Source organism: Homo sapiens, chromosome 1 (assembly GCF_000001405.40).
Source record: "Homo sapiens chromosome 1, GRCh38.p14 Primary Assembly".
Lineage (NCBI taxonomy): Eukaryota > Metazoa > Chordata > Mammalia > Primates > Hominidae > Homo > Homo sapiens.
The window spans coordinates 19,001,985-19,015,755 of NC_000001.11; the positions used below are offsets into that span (position 1 = coordinate 19,001,985).

Sequence of the window (13,771 nt, forward strand, 5' to 3'; positions counted from 1 at the left end):
TCATTGTCATGAGGCAGCAGCTGGGCCCACAGCTCTCCCAGTTCCTGCTGGGTCATCCTTCAGTATCCCTGACTCCAGACCAAGTGTGTGTTTAGCTTCATGATGAAAAGCCTCACCCTCTCTTATAGGCTATGTTATCATTGAAGTTGGCCTCATGGAAGAGGTGAGAGACCACACGCAAGTTCTAGTTTGTTGCGGCTCTTTTCCTATTCTTTCCCAATTTAAACACATCTCCCCTTCCTAGTTGCCTCCTCTGCACTGTCAGTATAGCAGCACCAGACACATAAAAAATAGCCTTTTATAGACTGTTTAGCCAACTCCATATCATTGTATAAGGACAAATTCCTATAATAAATCTCTCTCAGCAATTCTGTTTCTCTGATTGAGCCTTGACTAACAAATATGTAAAATGGCATAATATTTTGTGAACATTATAAGTTAAAGTGCATGTTATTATTATTATCATTATCATTATTATTATTTTAGAGTCAGGATCTCCCTCCTTCACCCAGGCAGGAGTGCAGTGGCATGATCATGGCTCACTGCAGCCTCAACCTCCTCTGCTCAAGTGATCCTCCTGTCTCAGACTCCTGAGTTGCTGGGACTACAGGCATGAGCCACGCACCTGGATCCTAAAGATGCATATCATTAACCCTAAAGCAACCACCAAAAAAAAAAAACAAAAAACAGTGAAACAGTGAAAATAAAATGGAATCTTTTTTTAAAATAATTAATAAAAAGGAGCCAAGCAAATGGAAATTAAGGAACAAAGAAGATATGGGATAAACAGAAGGCAAATGGAAAGATGGAGTATTTAAACCCAATCATATCAATAATTACATTAAAAGCAAATTATCTAAATAGTTACATTTAAAGGTGGAGATTGTCACATCGGAGTTTAAAAAAAAACAAGACCTAGTTATATGCTGTCTACAAGAAACCCACTTTAAATATAAAGACACAGATGAGTTAAACGTAAAAAGATGAGAAAGTATATACTAGGAAAACACTAATTTTAAGAAAGCTGGAGTGGCTATAATAACACCAGATATAGTAGACTTAAGAACGAGGGTTATTATCAGAGATTAAGAAAGACATTTATTAATGAAAAAGGGATCAATTAATCAAGAGGATATAACCCTTCTAAATATGTATGCACCTAATAACAGAGCTTCAAAATACTTGAAGCAAAAACTGACACACCTGAAAAGAGAAACAGACAAATCCATACTTGGAGTCTGAAATGTCAACATTTCTGTCATTGATAGAACAGGTAGACAGAAAGTCACCAAGGATCCAGAAGACTTGAACACTGTCAACCAACTTGAATTAAGTGACATTTATAGAACACCCCACCCAACAACAGAGTACACATTATTTTCAAGGGCACACAAAGCATCCAACAAGATACGCCAAAGGCTGGGCTGTAAACAAGTCTCAATATATTTCAAAGGACTGAAGTCACCACACTGATTCTGGAGAAGAAAAAAAAAAAGATAAGAGAATGCACAAGTTCTTTCAACTCAAAGATAGAAAAGAGAAATTTTGTATGTGATGCAAATGAGTCATCTTTGCTGCGGAGGAGTGATAGCGATGGATTACTCTAGTGTGCCTTAAGACCTAACTTCTTTCAAACCAGGCCATGAATCAGACAGGACTTCCAGGCCAGAGGAGCACGTCAATGGAGGACTTTCAAAGAGAAAGCACTGATAATAGTGGCGTTAAAGAAACTGGCCAGTATATAGCCAGTTCCCTGAGTCCTGTGATAAATCCCACTCCTCTACCTCATCTTGGGTGTCCCCTGGGCACCTCAGTGTGTCCAAAACCAAACCAACAGCATGTCCCCAGCCTCCCAGAGCCTCCGCCTTTATATAACCTCCTTCTCAAAACAGTTGTTTATCCTGAATGATCCATCTTAGTTAATGACACCACCCAGAAACTTACAGGTATCCTCAACTCTGCCTCTCCTTCAGTCTCCCCTTGGTTAGTCAGTCACTGAGCCCTGTGAAGTCTCTCTCTCATTGATCTCTCCAACCCGTCTTCTCTTCCCTCCTCACCGCCACTGCCAAGTCCAAGCCCCTTCTCATTTCTCGTCATCTTCTCCAGCCTCCTCATCCCTCCCCGGCAGCTGGTCCTGCCTCCCCACCATGCTCAGCCCCGCTGGCCAATGGACTCTCAACTTTGTTTTTCAGGTCTTAAAAGTCACACAACAGTACATATATCATGTCAAAAAATGTGTAATACAAGCAAGCAAAACTCAAAATACATTAATAAATAGAAGTAAAAACAAATTTTAACTTAAATCAAAAGCCCATCACCATCCAGCAATAACCAATGTTAACATTTTGGATCACCAGACTTCTGACCCTTTCCTAAATGTTCATTTATGTTTTTCTTTTTTCTTTTTTTTTCCAAGACAGAGTTTTGCTCTTGTCTCCTAGGCTGGAGTGCCGTGGAGAGATCTCGGCTCACTGCAACCTCCACCTCCCAGGTTTAAGCGATTCTCCTGCCTCAGCCTCCGGAGTAGCCACCACACCCAGCTAATTTTTGTATTTTTAATAGAGACTGGGTTTCACCATGTTGGCCAGGCTGGCCTCGAACTCCTAACCTTGTGATCCGCCCGCCTCAGCCTCCCAAAGTGCTGGGATTACAGGCATGAGCCACCGCATTGGCCACATTTATGTTTTTCACCAAATGGGATTATTCCAGACATACAACTAGGGTGACCCAGTTTACCTGGGACTGTCCTGGCTTTTGCACTGAAGCTCCTGTGTTCCAGAAAACCACTCAGTCCTGGGCAAACCGGGATGGTTGGTCTCCCTACAACTTGTCTGTTTAATAGATTAGCACCTTTTGATGTTAATAATAGACAGCTATGTCTTCATTTTAATGACTATAGGAATACCAGTGAATATAAATATCTAAGTGGTCTTTTAAAGGTAAAAAACCTGCTCTCTTCCATTTCCATCCCTTCAGGCACCCCATGGTATTAAGTAGTAAGCTCAAAAGTGGGGTGGAGGGGAATCCAGGGGACGCGTAGGAAAAGCCATCGGCTTAGGGAGAAAGAGTAGCAGAGGTTCTATTTATATGTATTCCTTTTTTTCTCATCATAGCTCGCTGTAGCCTTAAACTCCTGGGCTCAAGCAATCCTTCTGCCTCAACCTCCCGAGTTGCTAGGACTACAGGTGCATGCAACTATGCCTGGCTAATTTTATTTATTTATTTATTTTGTAGAGATGGAGTCTCCCTATATTGCCCAGGCTGGTCTTGAACTCCTGGCCTCAAGTGATCCTCCCACCTTTGCCTCCCAAAGCACTGGGATTACAGCTGTTAGCCACCATGCCCAACCTACATGTATTTTTTTTTTATCTCATGTTTTTCATTTTTCTATTTTTGTGTGTCTTATAGTGTATATGATACAAGTGTACAGTAGTGCACGTATATAACTTAGTTATAAATAAATCTCCATATAATGGAGGGTTTATTTCCAGCATGCTTCTAAAGGTTGGAAACACTAGTCCAGCTGATAAAATATTTCCTCTTTAGCAGTCCTGGAATGTCCAGCATAGTCAAGGCTTTGCTTCTCCCTCCAGTTTCATCTGCCACCTCCCTCACTGATATGGTTTGGCTGTGTCCCCACCCAAATCTCATGTTGAATTGTGGCTCCCATAATTCCCATGTGTTGTGGGAGGGACCTGGTGGGAGATAATTGAATCACGGAGGTGGCTTCTCTCATAGTGTTCTCGTGATAGTGAATAAGTCTCACGAGATCTGATGATTTTATAAGAAGAAACCCCTTTGGCTTGGTTTTCATTTTGTCTTGTCTGCTACCATGTAAGACATGCCTTTTGCCTTCTGCCATGATTGTGAGGCCTCCCCAGCCACATAGAACTGTGAGTCCATTAAACCTCTTTTTCTTTATAAATTACCCAGTCTCGGGTAGTCTTTATCAGCAGCATGAAAACGGAGTAACACACCCATCCCCCAGCAAGCCGCACCAAACCATATCTGTTCCCTGAATATCCGTATTCTCCCCTCCAAGCCATTCCCCTCCAAGAGGTTCCCATCACCCCACCCCCTTCACCTCCTGGCTAACCTCCTCAGTTCCTCCACTGCAGCTCACAGGCTAACCCAGGTCAGATATCACCTCTGCCAGGAAGTCTCTCTGGAACACTCCTCCTCTCTAGCCCAACCCATCCAGGTTAGGTGCCCTTCCTCTGCATTTCCATAGCACCCTGTGCTTACCCGCACCACAACGCTGACCACATGACTTAGTAATTACCTATTTAACCCTTTGTGACTTCCCCTGATTCGCTGGTGGCCACCCAGCCCAGTGCCTGTCACATAGCCATCTTCTAGCAAATGGTGAAAGAATAAACAAACAATAATTGCAAACATGTATGTAGCACTTTCCAAATGCCAGACACTGATTACAGATCAGGAAACAGAGGCACGGAGAAGTCAAGGTACTTGTCAGGGTCACAGAACTAAATGGCAGAGCTGGGCTTCAAACCCAGGCAAACTGGCTTCAGAGTCCATGCTATCCATCGTTATGCTACGATGTCACTCAGCAGAAGAATGAATGAATAAATGAATGAACAAATAAAGATAGGAATGAAGGAGGGAACAAATGAATGAGCAAAGGAATAATTTAAGTAAAGGAATGCCCAGGGGCCTGGTCCCGGGCTGCTTTGCAGACATCAACCAATTGCACTGTCTTTAAGTTGCCCTTGTCATTGTCCATCTGATGCCATTTTTCATATTTTAGTTGCTGCCTGTGGAGGCACCAGAAGTTTGTCCCTCCTCCCCCTTCACCCCTGTACCAGGATCAACCAGATCTCCCTCCCTTCCTAACTCCCCCATTGCAGCTCACAGGGTAATGAGCATCAGTACTGCAGAATCACTGCATGTTACAGCTGGAAGGTACACTTAGCACTATCCAGTCCAATCTTCCATTTTGTAGATGGAAAAATGGAGGCCCAGAGAGGCAAAGCAATTTCCCCAAGGTCACACAGCAAGTTAGTGGCAGAGTCAAGAGTGGGCCCAGTCTCCTGATTTTCCATCTGTCTCCCTTTACTAAGCTGTCTCTATTGCTTGAACTTTGTCAATCGAAAGCCATTCGGGGCAAAGTACAACAGATGGGTTTAGTGAGTTCTCAAATGCACTGTTGAGAAAAGTTCCTGGGAATAGGGAGGTGAGAAATGCAAGGTCAAGGCCCTGCAATTTCCTCCAGGCAGGGAAATAAATAACCAAAACCATCACTGAGGACTCACCATGTGCTAGATGCTTCCCTGCATTATCCCATTTCGTCCTCCGACAGATAGTAACTATCCTGGTTTTAGATATGAGCAAATTGAGGTTCAGAGAGGTAAACAGAGCGATCAACACATCCCCAGTTTCTTGGCACTGTCCCAGTTCTAAAACTGGAAGTCCCATGTCTCAGGAACCCCTTTAGTCCCAGGCAAACCAGGACAGTGGGTCACCCCCGAGGTAAGCAGCCCACCCAGAGGACTGGATCCCAGAGATCCAAGCTCAGACCTCCTGTGGATTTCCATGCCCTTTCTCCTACACCACACTGCACCCTCTGGGAAAATACATAAACTCTCATGGGAAAAATAAACAGATAAGCAGGTGGGGTCAGGAGTGGGGAGTGGGAAGTGGGCCAGAGGAGGGTGGGCACCAAGAGGCAGTTCTGAAGTCAGGTCAGCCCTGGGTCACAGCAGCCCAGCCATCTGGGAGGTAGAATGCTACTGGGTGTCAGGCCAGGAGAGGACAAACAAGGTTCTTATTCTTCCCTCTTTATCTGGAGGAGTCTGTTTGTGGCAATAACCCTGTTATCTCAGCCAGGTCTCTGGTCTCTTGCCAGGCTGTGACAAGGGGTTTAGGGGCTGAGGCTCTGACCAAACCAGTCTCCCTGGGACCCTGGCATGCTCTCCCTCCTCATCTGACAACCTGATCGGGGTCGAGGAGGCATGGTGAGCACCACAGGGCAGGGGACCCCTGCCCACCCATGGAGGCCACAGGGAGATGAGGACCCCACACTTGGACAGTGGATTTCCCTGTCGTCACGAGGGGATTTGAGAGTAGCTGACCTCCTGCTAGGAGCCAGACTCCTGACTGCTGTGGTCTCTTTCAACCTTCTCCTCCCTAAAGCACTCAGACAGGCATCCTCACCTCTACCTTACAGAAGCGGAGGGGATGTCCCTTAGAGAAGTCACATAGCATGTCGGTGACACAGGGCGGCCAGGGCACAGCAGTGACTCCAACTCTCCCTGCCTCCCAAGCCTCCTCACGAGACTGTCAAACAATGGTGGAGACATAGACTCTGTCTTGGCTGCGTGTCTCTGTGACTTGCTTACCACACCACACCTGCCCAGACACCTCTCCTGCCCGGACACCTCTCCCACCCTCCTCCACAGGGTGATTTGTCCTCGTCCTAGGACCTCAAGCTTGGCCTCCCCTGACCTTCAGGCTGGGGTGAGTGCCCTGTCTTAGAACTCATGGTGGCCTCTGCTGGGGCAACCACAGTTCGTGGGGATTGGGGTGTAAAAAGCACCTCCTGACCCCTTCTGCACTAAGACCCCAAGAGGACAGGAACTGACTCCCTACCCCAGCACTGATATATTAGGTTGGTGCAAAAGTAATTGCATTAATTGCATTAAAAGTCATGGCAAAAACGAAAACATTAAGTAGTTTTTGCCATTACTTTTTTTTTTTTTTTTTAGACAAAGTCTCACTCTATTGCCCAGGCTGGAGTGCAATGGCACAATCTTGGCTCACTGCAACCTCTGCCTCCCGGGTTCAAGCGATTCTCCTGCCTCAGCCTCCTGAGTAGCTGGGATTACAGATGCGCACCACCACGCCTGGCTAATTTTTGTATTTTAGTAGAGATAGGGTTTCACCATATTGGTCAGGCTGGTCTCGAACTCCTGACCTCATGATCAACCCACCTCAGCCTCCCAAAGTGCTGGGATTACAGGCGTGAGCCCCTGCACCCAGCCAGCCATTACTTTTCATTGTAATTCATGCAATTAGTTTTGCATTAAAAGTAATGGCAAAAGATACTTAATATCTATTTGTTGCACAAACAAATAAGTAGATTAATTAATTCATTGCCAAATACTCTTGAGCTCCAATTCAGTCAGGTGGCATCCTGAAGGCAATGGCCCACCTAAAAGTCTCCCAGCTGCTGCCTCTGTTCCACCCCCCCCCACCCTCCCACTGGCCTTCCTCCGTCACCACTTGACTCAAAGTGTGGTCCCCAGATCCACAGTACCAGCATCACCAAGAGCTTGTTGGAAATGGAACAACTCCGTCCCCCCCAGACCCCGGGACCCTGGGCTGAGAGCCTGAAAACTGTTAGAAATCGTGACATACTGTCTTAGGTGAGCCTTGCTACAAGACCTAAAGTGTGCTGGCGTTATTCACATCGCTACAGATGAAGCTGGGGTTCAGGGAGGGGAGATAGCTTCTCAAGATTAAACAGCCAGGAAATGGTAGAGGTGGGATTCAAACTTGGGTTTGTCTCTCTTCAAAGCAGATGGAAATTGACGCTGCTATCCATGTGGTGAAAGGAGAGAAACCTGCATTTACTGAACACCCACAATGTGCCAAGTCCCGTACGACTCTGTCTCATTTCATCTTCCCCACTCCCTTATGAAGTAGGGGATCTCACATTCTCGTTTTACAGATGAGACTCCGAGGCGCAGGAAGGGGAGGTGACTTGCCCAAGGTCCACAGCTGGGAAACAGCTGAAATGGGGCGCAAAGCTGGAAGTCTGCTCCCCAACCTGGGGAATGGACACCAGGTGACGACATATAGTGCCCTCGCTCGGCAGCAGGCACTGGCTCTCAGGGGACTGCGGGGTCACTGCTTAGCTCACACCTGTCCTTTCTCTCCCCTGAGAGAGCTTGTGGCCTTGGGCCACATCCATGCTTTCTTTTTCTTCCTAACCCTCAGCCCTCAGCTTAGTCATTCTCCAGCCCTGATGGAGCACAAATGCATGCTGCTGGTGACGACTGGCTACCAAGGTGGGATGTCACCCTCCCAGCTATTCCCATCATTTGTCCTGGCGGGCGCCAAGAATTCCTGAGGTCACCTCAAGGCCCCTTCCTGCATTCCTAGCGTTCTTGTCACAGGGCTCTCCTTTCTGACCCCACATGTGAACCTCCGCTGCAGGCTGGGCTCACAGGCAAATGCATCACACCGTGGTGACTGGGGCAGGAGAGTGGGATCAGTGATGCCCTGCCTGTTCTGGATGTGAGACCTTGGCAGATTCCTTTGCCTGTCTGAGCCTCAGCTTCTCCATCTCTGAGAGGGGCGGGTAATAATCGGACCTCCCAAGGTGTTTGTAAGGAGCATTCAGGGTGCATGGAAGTGGCTGGGCCTTCTGTATCTCTCACTGCCAGCAATCAAAACATGGCCCAGGACTGTCTGATGGGTCAGCCAGCGGGACTGGGCAGCACACGAGCATCCATTTGTATGAGCAGCTCGCAGGGACAGGGGTCACTTGGAAGGAGAGGAGGGAAATGGGATTGGGCCCGGTGTGTGCCACATGAAGAGGTGGCTCTTGGGAGACCCAGGCAGGGGCTGGGCAGTGCTGCCCAGGGAGGAATATTTGCCCCAAATCTGCAGAGAACACACCTCCATGGCCCCAGGGAGGGAGGGGAGCTTCAGTAAACAGTCTCTTGGCATGAATCTCCACATTTCCACAGAGGACACCGGCCACAGTGGCCAGACCTGTTTAGTGACCTGAAGGGCAAACAGCATAGAAGAGGAGAGGGGTGGCCAAAAGAAAGGAGGAGTGGGCAGGGGTCGGTGGTGGTTGTGGCTGGGGTTTGTGAGCACTCAGGACACACTCGACTCTCAGACCTAACCAGGTAAGGTTTTGCAGAAGCCAGACATGTAGGAGAGCATCTGGCAACCAGATCCACTGAAATTGGGTGGGTGCTATTAACGCAACCCGTTTATAAGTACAGGCTGGGGATGGCTGGAGAGACGGGCACCGCATAGAGGAGGCACACACCAGGAGGAGATGGCAAGGGCTCCAGACACGCAGCCACCAGAGCCCGCGTCCAGCCGAGGCTGGGCGCCCTGCAGCCTGTGTTCAACCACTTACCCTTGTCCAGACCTAGATACAGGGCAAAAAGGCATGCCTATGGGAGCCCCAGTAAAGTCCTTATAAAGTGAAGACTTCTTGGTGAGTCAGCCCGAGCCAGGCGGGCCCAGCTCATTCATTGCGAAAGTATTTTCTTTTCAGTGCTTTTCTGCAAAGCCTTTCACTGCCGCGGAGGTGAAGTCATCGGCTGGTAAACGCTCTGCCTTGCGGTAAATTTCCTCTGAACTTTCTGCTTCTGTTTAACTCGCCAAACCTCAAGGCGAGCTGGCAGTCAGAGTCGTGCAAAGGTCACTGGGCTGAGTTGGAGGCCTGGGTTTAAATCCCAGCCCAGCCTCTTTCTAGTTTCGGGATCTTGATGGATGTAAGTCACATCTTTGGGCTTTAGTTTCTCTGTGTCTAAAATGAAGTCACTACTATCAAAAGTATCCTAAAGAAATACAATGCTACGCACTCATGTAATCAAAAATATTTACTGAGTTCTTAGTGAGTGTTAAGTACCATGCCAGAAAATGGAAATTATGGTAAGGAAACACACATACACACACATATGCACATGTACACACATATGCACATATGCACATACATACACACACACACATACACATATACAAGCATGTATATGCGACGTGTATACATACATTAGCACAGACACACACACATGCTTTCCTGATTCTTGCCCTCAGACGTTTCATATTCTGGTGGGAAAGACAGACGTGAATCAAATGATCCCATCAGTGAATATTAAAATACAGCTGTGATTAGTGCGGAGCTCTCTGGTGCTCTAAGAGCTTGCAATGGGGGCTTGAGCCAGTCTGAGGTGAGCAGGGGTGGGACAGGGAAGACTTCCCAGGGCACAAACAGAGTGGGAGATGGGAAAGACGACCAGCCATCACCCAGGCAGAGAGAAGGGGCAAGCAGAGCCCCTGCAGAACCGTGGCTTATCCCAGGCCAGGAAGGTCAGCTTACCAGGGGCAGAGCAGTGAGGGGCCAGGAGGACTGCGGACATAGGAAAGATGGGAAGATGACTGAGCTGGCAGCCCTGAGGGCAGCTTCCTGCTCCGATATCCCAGACCAGCAGCTCCCAGTGTGATCAAGTGGCTTTGCAGCAAACGTTATGAAACATCAATGGATTAAACTTAATTTGGGGCTAGATGAGACACTATCATATACCTACACAAAGAGCAGTGGGTACCGAAAAACTGATCACTGAAAATATTCTACCCATCAGTTTTATTTTTCTGTTATTTGAAAAACAATACCATGGTTGGGTTTGAGTTAACAGTAAACTTCAGCCCAACACACAGAACAACAGTTTCCCATGGGAGGCCTCCCTGAGCCCAGCTAAACTCAGCACTTGCCTTTCCAGGAAACGGCATCCGTGAGGCCACCAGGGGGTAGCCTAGGAGGGGCAGTGGAATTCCTGGACGACTGCTGAAAAGCAAATCACACACTGGCGATGGTGCCTACCCTTTTGTTCCAGAAGTAGAAGAAAATTCAGGTCCGCGATCCAGACAATATTTGTCTTACAAATATGCTAAATAATGACTTTTTTTTTTTGAGACACAGTTTCGCTCTCGTTGCCCAGACTCTTGTTGCCAATGGCGCAATCTCGGCTCACTACAACCTCCGCCTCCCAGGTTCAAGCGATTCTCCTGCCTCAGCCTCCTAGTAGCTGGGATTACAGGCATCTGCCACCACACCTGGCTACTTTTTTTGTATTTTTAGTAGAGACGTGGTTTCACTATGTTGGCCAGGCTTGTCTTGAGCTCCTGACCTCAGGTGATCCACCTGCCTCGGCCTCCCAAAGTGCTAGGATTACAGGCATGAGCCACCACGCCCAGCCAATAATGACCTCTTATTGGGTGGTCCCTGACTAGTAGCCATCTGTCATCCTGACCCAATAGTGAGCACCAAGAAAACTGAGGCTATGTCACCACTGTATCCCCAGCCTGGTTGGTGTTTGGCACAGAGGGCCACTCCGAAAATACATAAGGAAAGGAAAATAGGAAAAGGGAGGGGATGGTGCTTGTCATATGGAACTCTGGGAAGTATCATGTCACCGCTTAAACTGCTACATCAACTTTTACGAATATTAGATATTGAACTACCTAAAGTTTGTATTGCTTTCTTTAAGATCATAGTAGGTTTAGGGATGAGTGATTTAGATAACTCAGGTCTCTCTCTATATAAAAAGTTGATCTACAGGCCAGGCACGGTGGTTCACACCTGTAATCCCAGCACTTTGGGAGGCTGAGGCAGGCAGATCACAAGGTCAAGAGATCAAGACCATCCCGGCCAACATGGTGAAACCCCGTCTCTACTAAAAATACAAAAATTAGCTGGATGTGGTGGCACGCGCCTGTAATCCCAGCTACTCCCGAGGCTGAGGCAGAAGAATCACTTGAACCTGGGAGGCGGAGCTTACAGTGAGCTGAGATGCCACCACTGCACTCCAGCCTGGCGACAGAGCAAGATTCTGTCTCAAAAAAAAAAATAACAAAAAGTTGATCTATAAGGGTGGAGATGAAGACATTTCCCCTTCCTCGATATATTTTTCTTGCAACAACCATCATCATCCAAGATCATTCCTTGGGAACAAAGGGATGGAAGAAGGAAGGAAAAGGAAAAGCAAAAAGCAATTCCTCAAGCATCTCTGGCACCCGCTCTGTGCCCAGCCCTGTGCTAAGCCCAGGTTATCCAGGGAATGGCCAGTGGGGCATTCTAGGTACCAGATAATAATTAAACACAACAGACATGGGTTCCCATACCAGGGCTCCATCCGCAACGTAAGCAGGAAAAGATTCCAAGCCATGCACATGATTCACAAATGACCCTTGGACATGGGCAGGGACAGGCAGCTGACCTCTAGAGACAGATGACCTGCCTTCCAATCCCGGCTCTGTTGCTTTCTTGTTTGAGCAAGTTCCCGCTCTGCTCAGAGCCTGGGTTTTCTTGGCTATCAAATGGGACCACCAAGTGTTGGTAGGGCTGTGTGAGCAATGAGTGGGATGAGCTGTATAAAGACCTCAGCACCAAGTACAGCTCTCACGGGTGGAGAGATTAATTTCAGCTGGGGCAACTGGGATGGTTTTTCGGGTGGGATTGACATGTCACTAGAATCAGGGCGGGACTGAACAGGCGAGGCACAGGGCAGGGGAGGGCGGCTGCACACCCACAGTGAGGGCTCTCTGTGCACAGGTAAGTCTGGTTTGTCGTTGATGATGGTAGCGGAGGTGACTACGCCCTTTGAAAAGTGATTTATTTTTAAAATGAGGGCTGACCACAGACTAAGCCACTTCATGCTCTGTTACCACCTGCCTCGGTTTATTCAAACTTCAGTCAAGCTTTGGGTTCAATAAAAGTCACCAGGAAATAACTGCCTCGCGCTTCATAGGAAACCCATTAAAAAAATTCATGCACCATTAAGGACCGGTGAGAGGAAGCCAAACTCAGGCCTTCACTGAGCTGCAACTACTGGCCCAAGATTGCCCTCTGAGCAGGGACTCAAAGGGTAGATAGATGCGGGAGATTTCGGGTCTCTATGTTAATTTGTTTGCAGCAAGAGGGAGGGAAGAGCACAGATGGACAGGTAACAGACAGAGGGCTGCGGCTCAGACCCCCGCCATCTTTGCCTGGTGCTTAGGATGAATGAAATATGCCAAAAGGAGCACAGATATCACCATCTGGAAGCTTTGACCAGCAACCTTTCTGTTCCACGATGAAAATAAATTTGACTACAGCTGTCAAGAGACTTTTTAAAGTTCATGCCCTTTGGCCCAGTCCTCTTCCCTATTTGAAGGCTTCTTCCTAAGAAGTCATTTGTAGGCCGGGCTCGGTAACTCACATATGTAATCCCAGCACTCTGCGAGGCAGAGGTGGAAGGATCGCTTGCGCCCAGGAGTTTGAGACCCATCTTGGGCAACATGGTGAAACCCCATCTTTACAAAAATATCAACATATTAGATTGAGGCTGTAGTGAGCTGTGATCGTGCCACTGCACTCCAGCCTGAGTGACAGAGGGAGACCCTGTCTCAAACAAACAAAGGAAGTCACTAGTGGTTCTAGCAAATAGTTTAGATATCAAGAACCTTCAGAGGAGAGTTATTTATTAGTAATAATTGGAAGAAATTAAATCTCCGACAATAGAATGGACAACAATAGAATTTGTTCAAAATTCAGCATAGAGATACCTATGGGATGCTAAGGCAGGCGGATCACTTGAGGTCAGGAGTTCGAAACCAGCCTGGCCAACATGGCAAAACCCCATCTCTACTAAAAATACAAAAGTTAGGAGGTTTTCTAATAATGATATGGTGAACTGTTGGTGATAAAAATACTCAGTAGGGGCAAATACACAACATTATATATTTAAAATATGTCTCCAAATTTGTGTTTTTTTTCTTTTTTTTGAGACAGAGTCTTGCTCTGTCACCCAGGCTAGAGTGCAATGGTGTGATCCCGGCTCACTGCAACCTCTGACTCCCAGGCTCAAGTGATCCTCCCACCTCAGCCTCCGGAGTAGGCAGAACTACAGGCATGCACCACTACGCCCAGCTGATTTTTTATTTTCTTGTAGCGACAGGGTTTCACTATGTTGCCCAGACTGGTCTCAGATTCCTGAGCTCCATTGATCCGCCCACTTCAGCCTCCCAA

General features: G+C 47.5%; 1 long non-coding RNA gene across 3 annotated transcripts in view, besides 4 other annotated features; it reads right to left on the reverse strand.

Moving 5' to 3' along the window:
- Positions 1–13,771, reverse strand: part of LOC105376815 (uncharacterized) — an 83,235-nt gene that overhangs the window by 33,791 nt on the left and 35,673 nt on the right. For 2 of the 3 annotated variants that reach the window (XR_001737918.2, XR_001737919.2), the window contains exon 1: positions 5,274–5,558. The exons of the other annotated variant lie outside the window; for it this stretch is intronic. This is a non-coding gene — a long non-coding RNA (uncharacterized LOC105376815). Of the gene's footprint in view, positions 1–5,273; positions 5,559–13,771 lie in introns of those variants that run through there. 3 annotated transcript variants of the gene reach the window in all.
- Positions 6,301–6,944: an enhancer, noted in NCBI's record as "H3K27ac-H3K4me1 hESC enhancer chr1:19334779-19335422 (GRCh37/hg19 assembly coordinates)". NCBI's record gives its function as "activates a minimal SCP1, AML or CMV promoter by ChIP-STARR-seq in primed H9 embryonic stem cells {active_cell/tissue: H9 hESC(primed)}" and the evidence as "EXISTENCE:reporter gene assay evidence [ECO:0000049][PMID:30033119]".
- Positions 8,673–9,872: an enhancer, noted in NCBI's record as "P300/CBP strongly-dependent group 1 enhancer chr1:19337151-19338350 (GRCh37/hg19 assembly coordinates)". NCBI's record gives its function as "activates an origin of replication core promoter dependent on BRD2, BRD4, P300/CBP, MED14 and CDK7 cofactors, with strong dependence on P300/CBP, by STARR-seq in HCT116 cells {active_cell/tissue: HCT116}" and the evidence as "EXISTENCE:reporter gene assay evidence [ECO:0000049][PMID:35650434]".
- Positions 9,288–9,347: an enhancer, noted in NCBI's record as "active region_294". NCBI's record gives its function as "activates an Ori minimal core promoter by ATAC-STARR-seq in GM12878 lymphoblastoid cells {active_cell/tissue: GM12878}" and the evidence as "EXISTENCE:reporter gene assay evidence [ECO:0000049][PMID:35858748]".
- Positions 9,947–10,858: an enhancer, noted in NCBI's record as "H3K27ac-H3K4me1 hESC enhancer chr1:19338425-19339336 (GRCh37/hg19 assembly coordinates)". NCBI's record gives its function as "activates a minimal SCP1, AML or CMV promoter by ChIP-STARR-seq in naive H9 embryonic stem cells {active_cell/tissue: H9 hESC(naive)}" and the evidence as "EXISTENCE:reporter gene assay evidence [ECO:0000049][PMID:30033119]".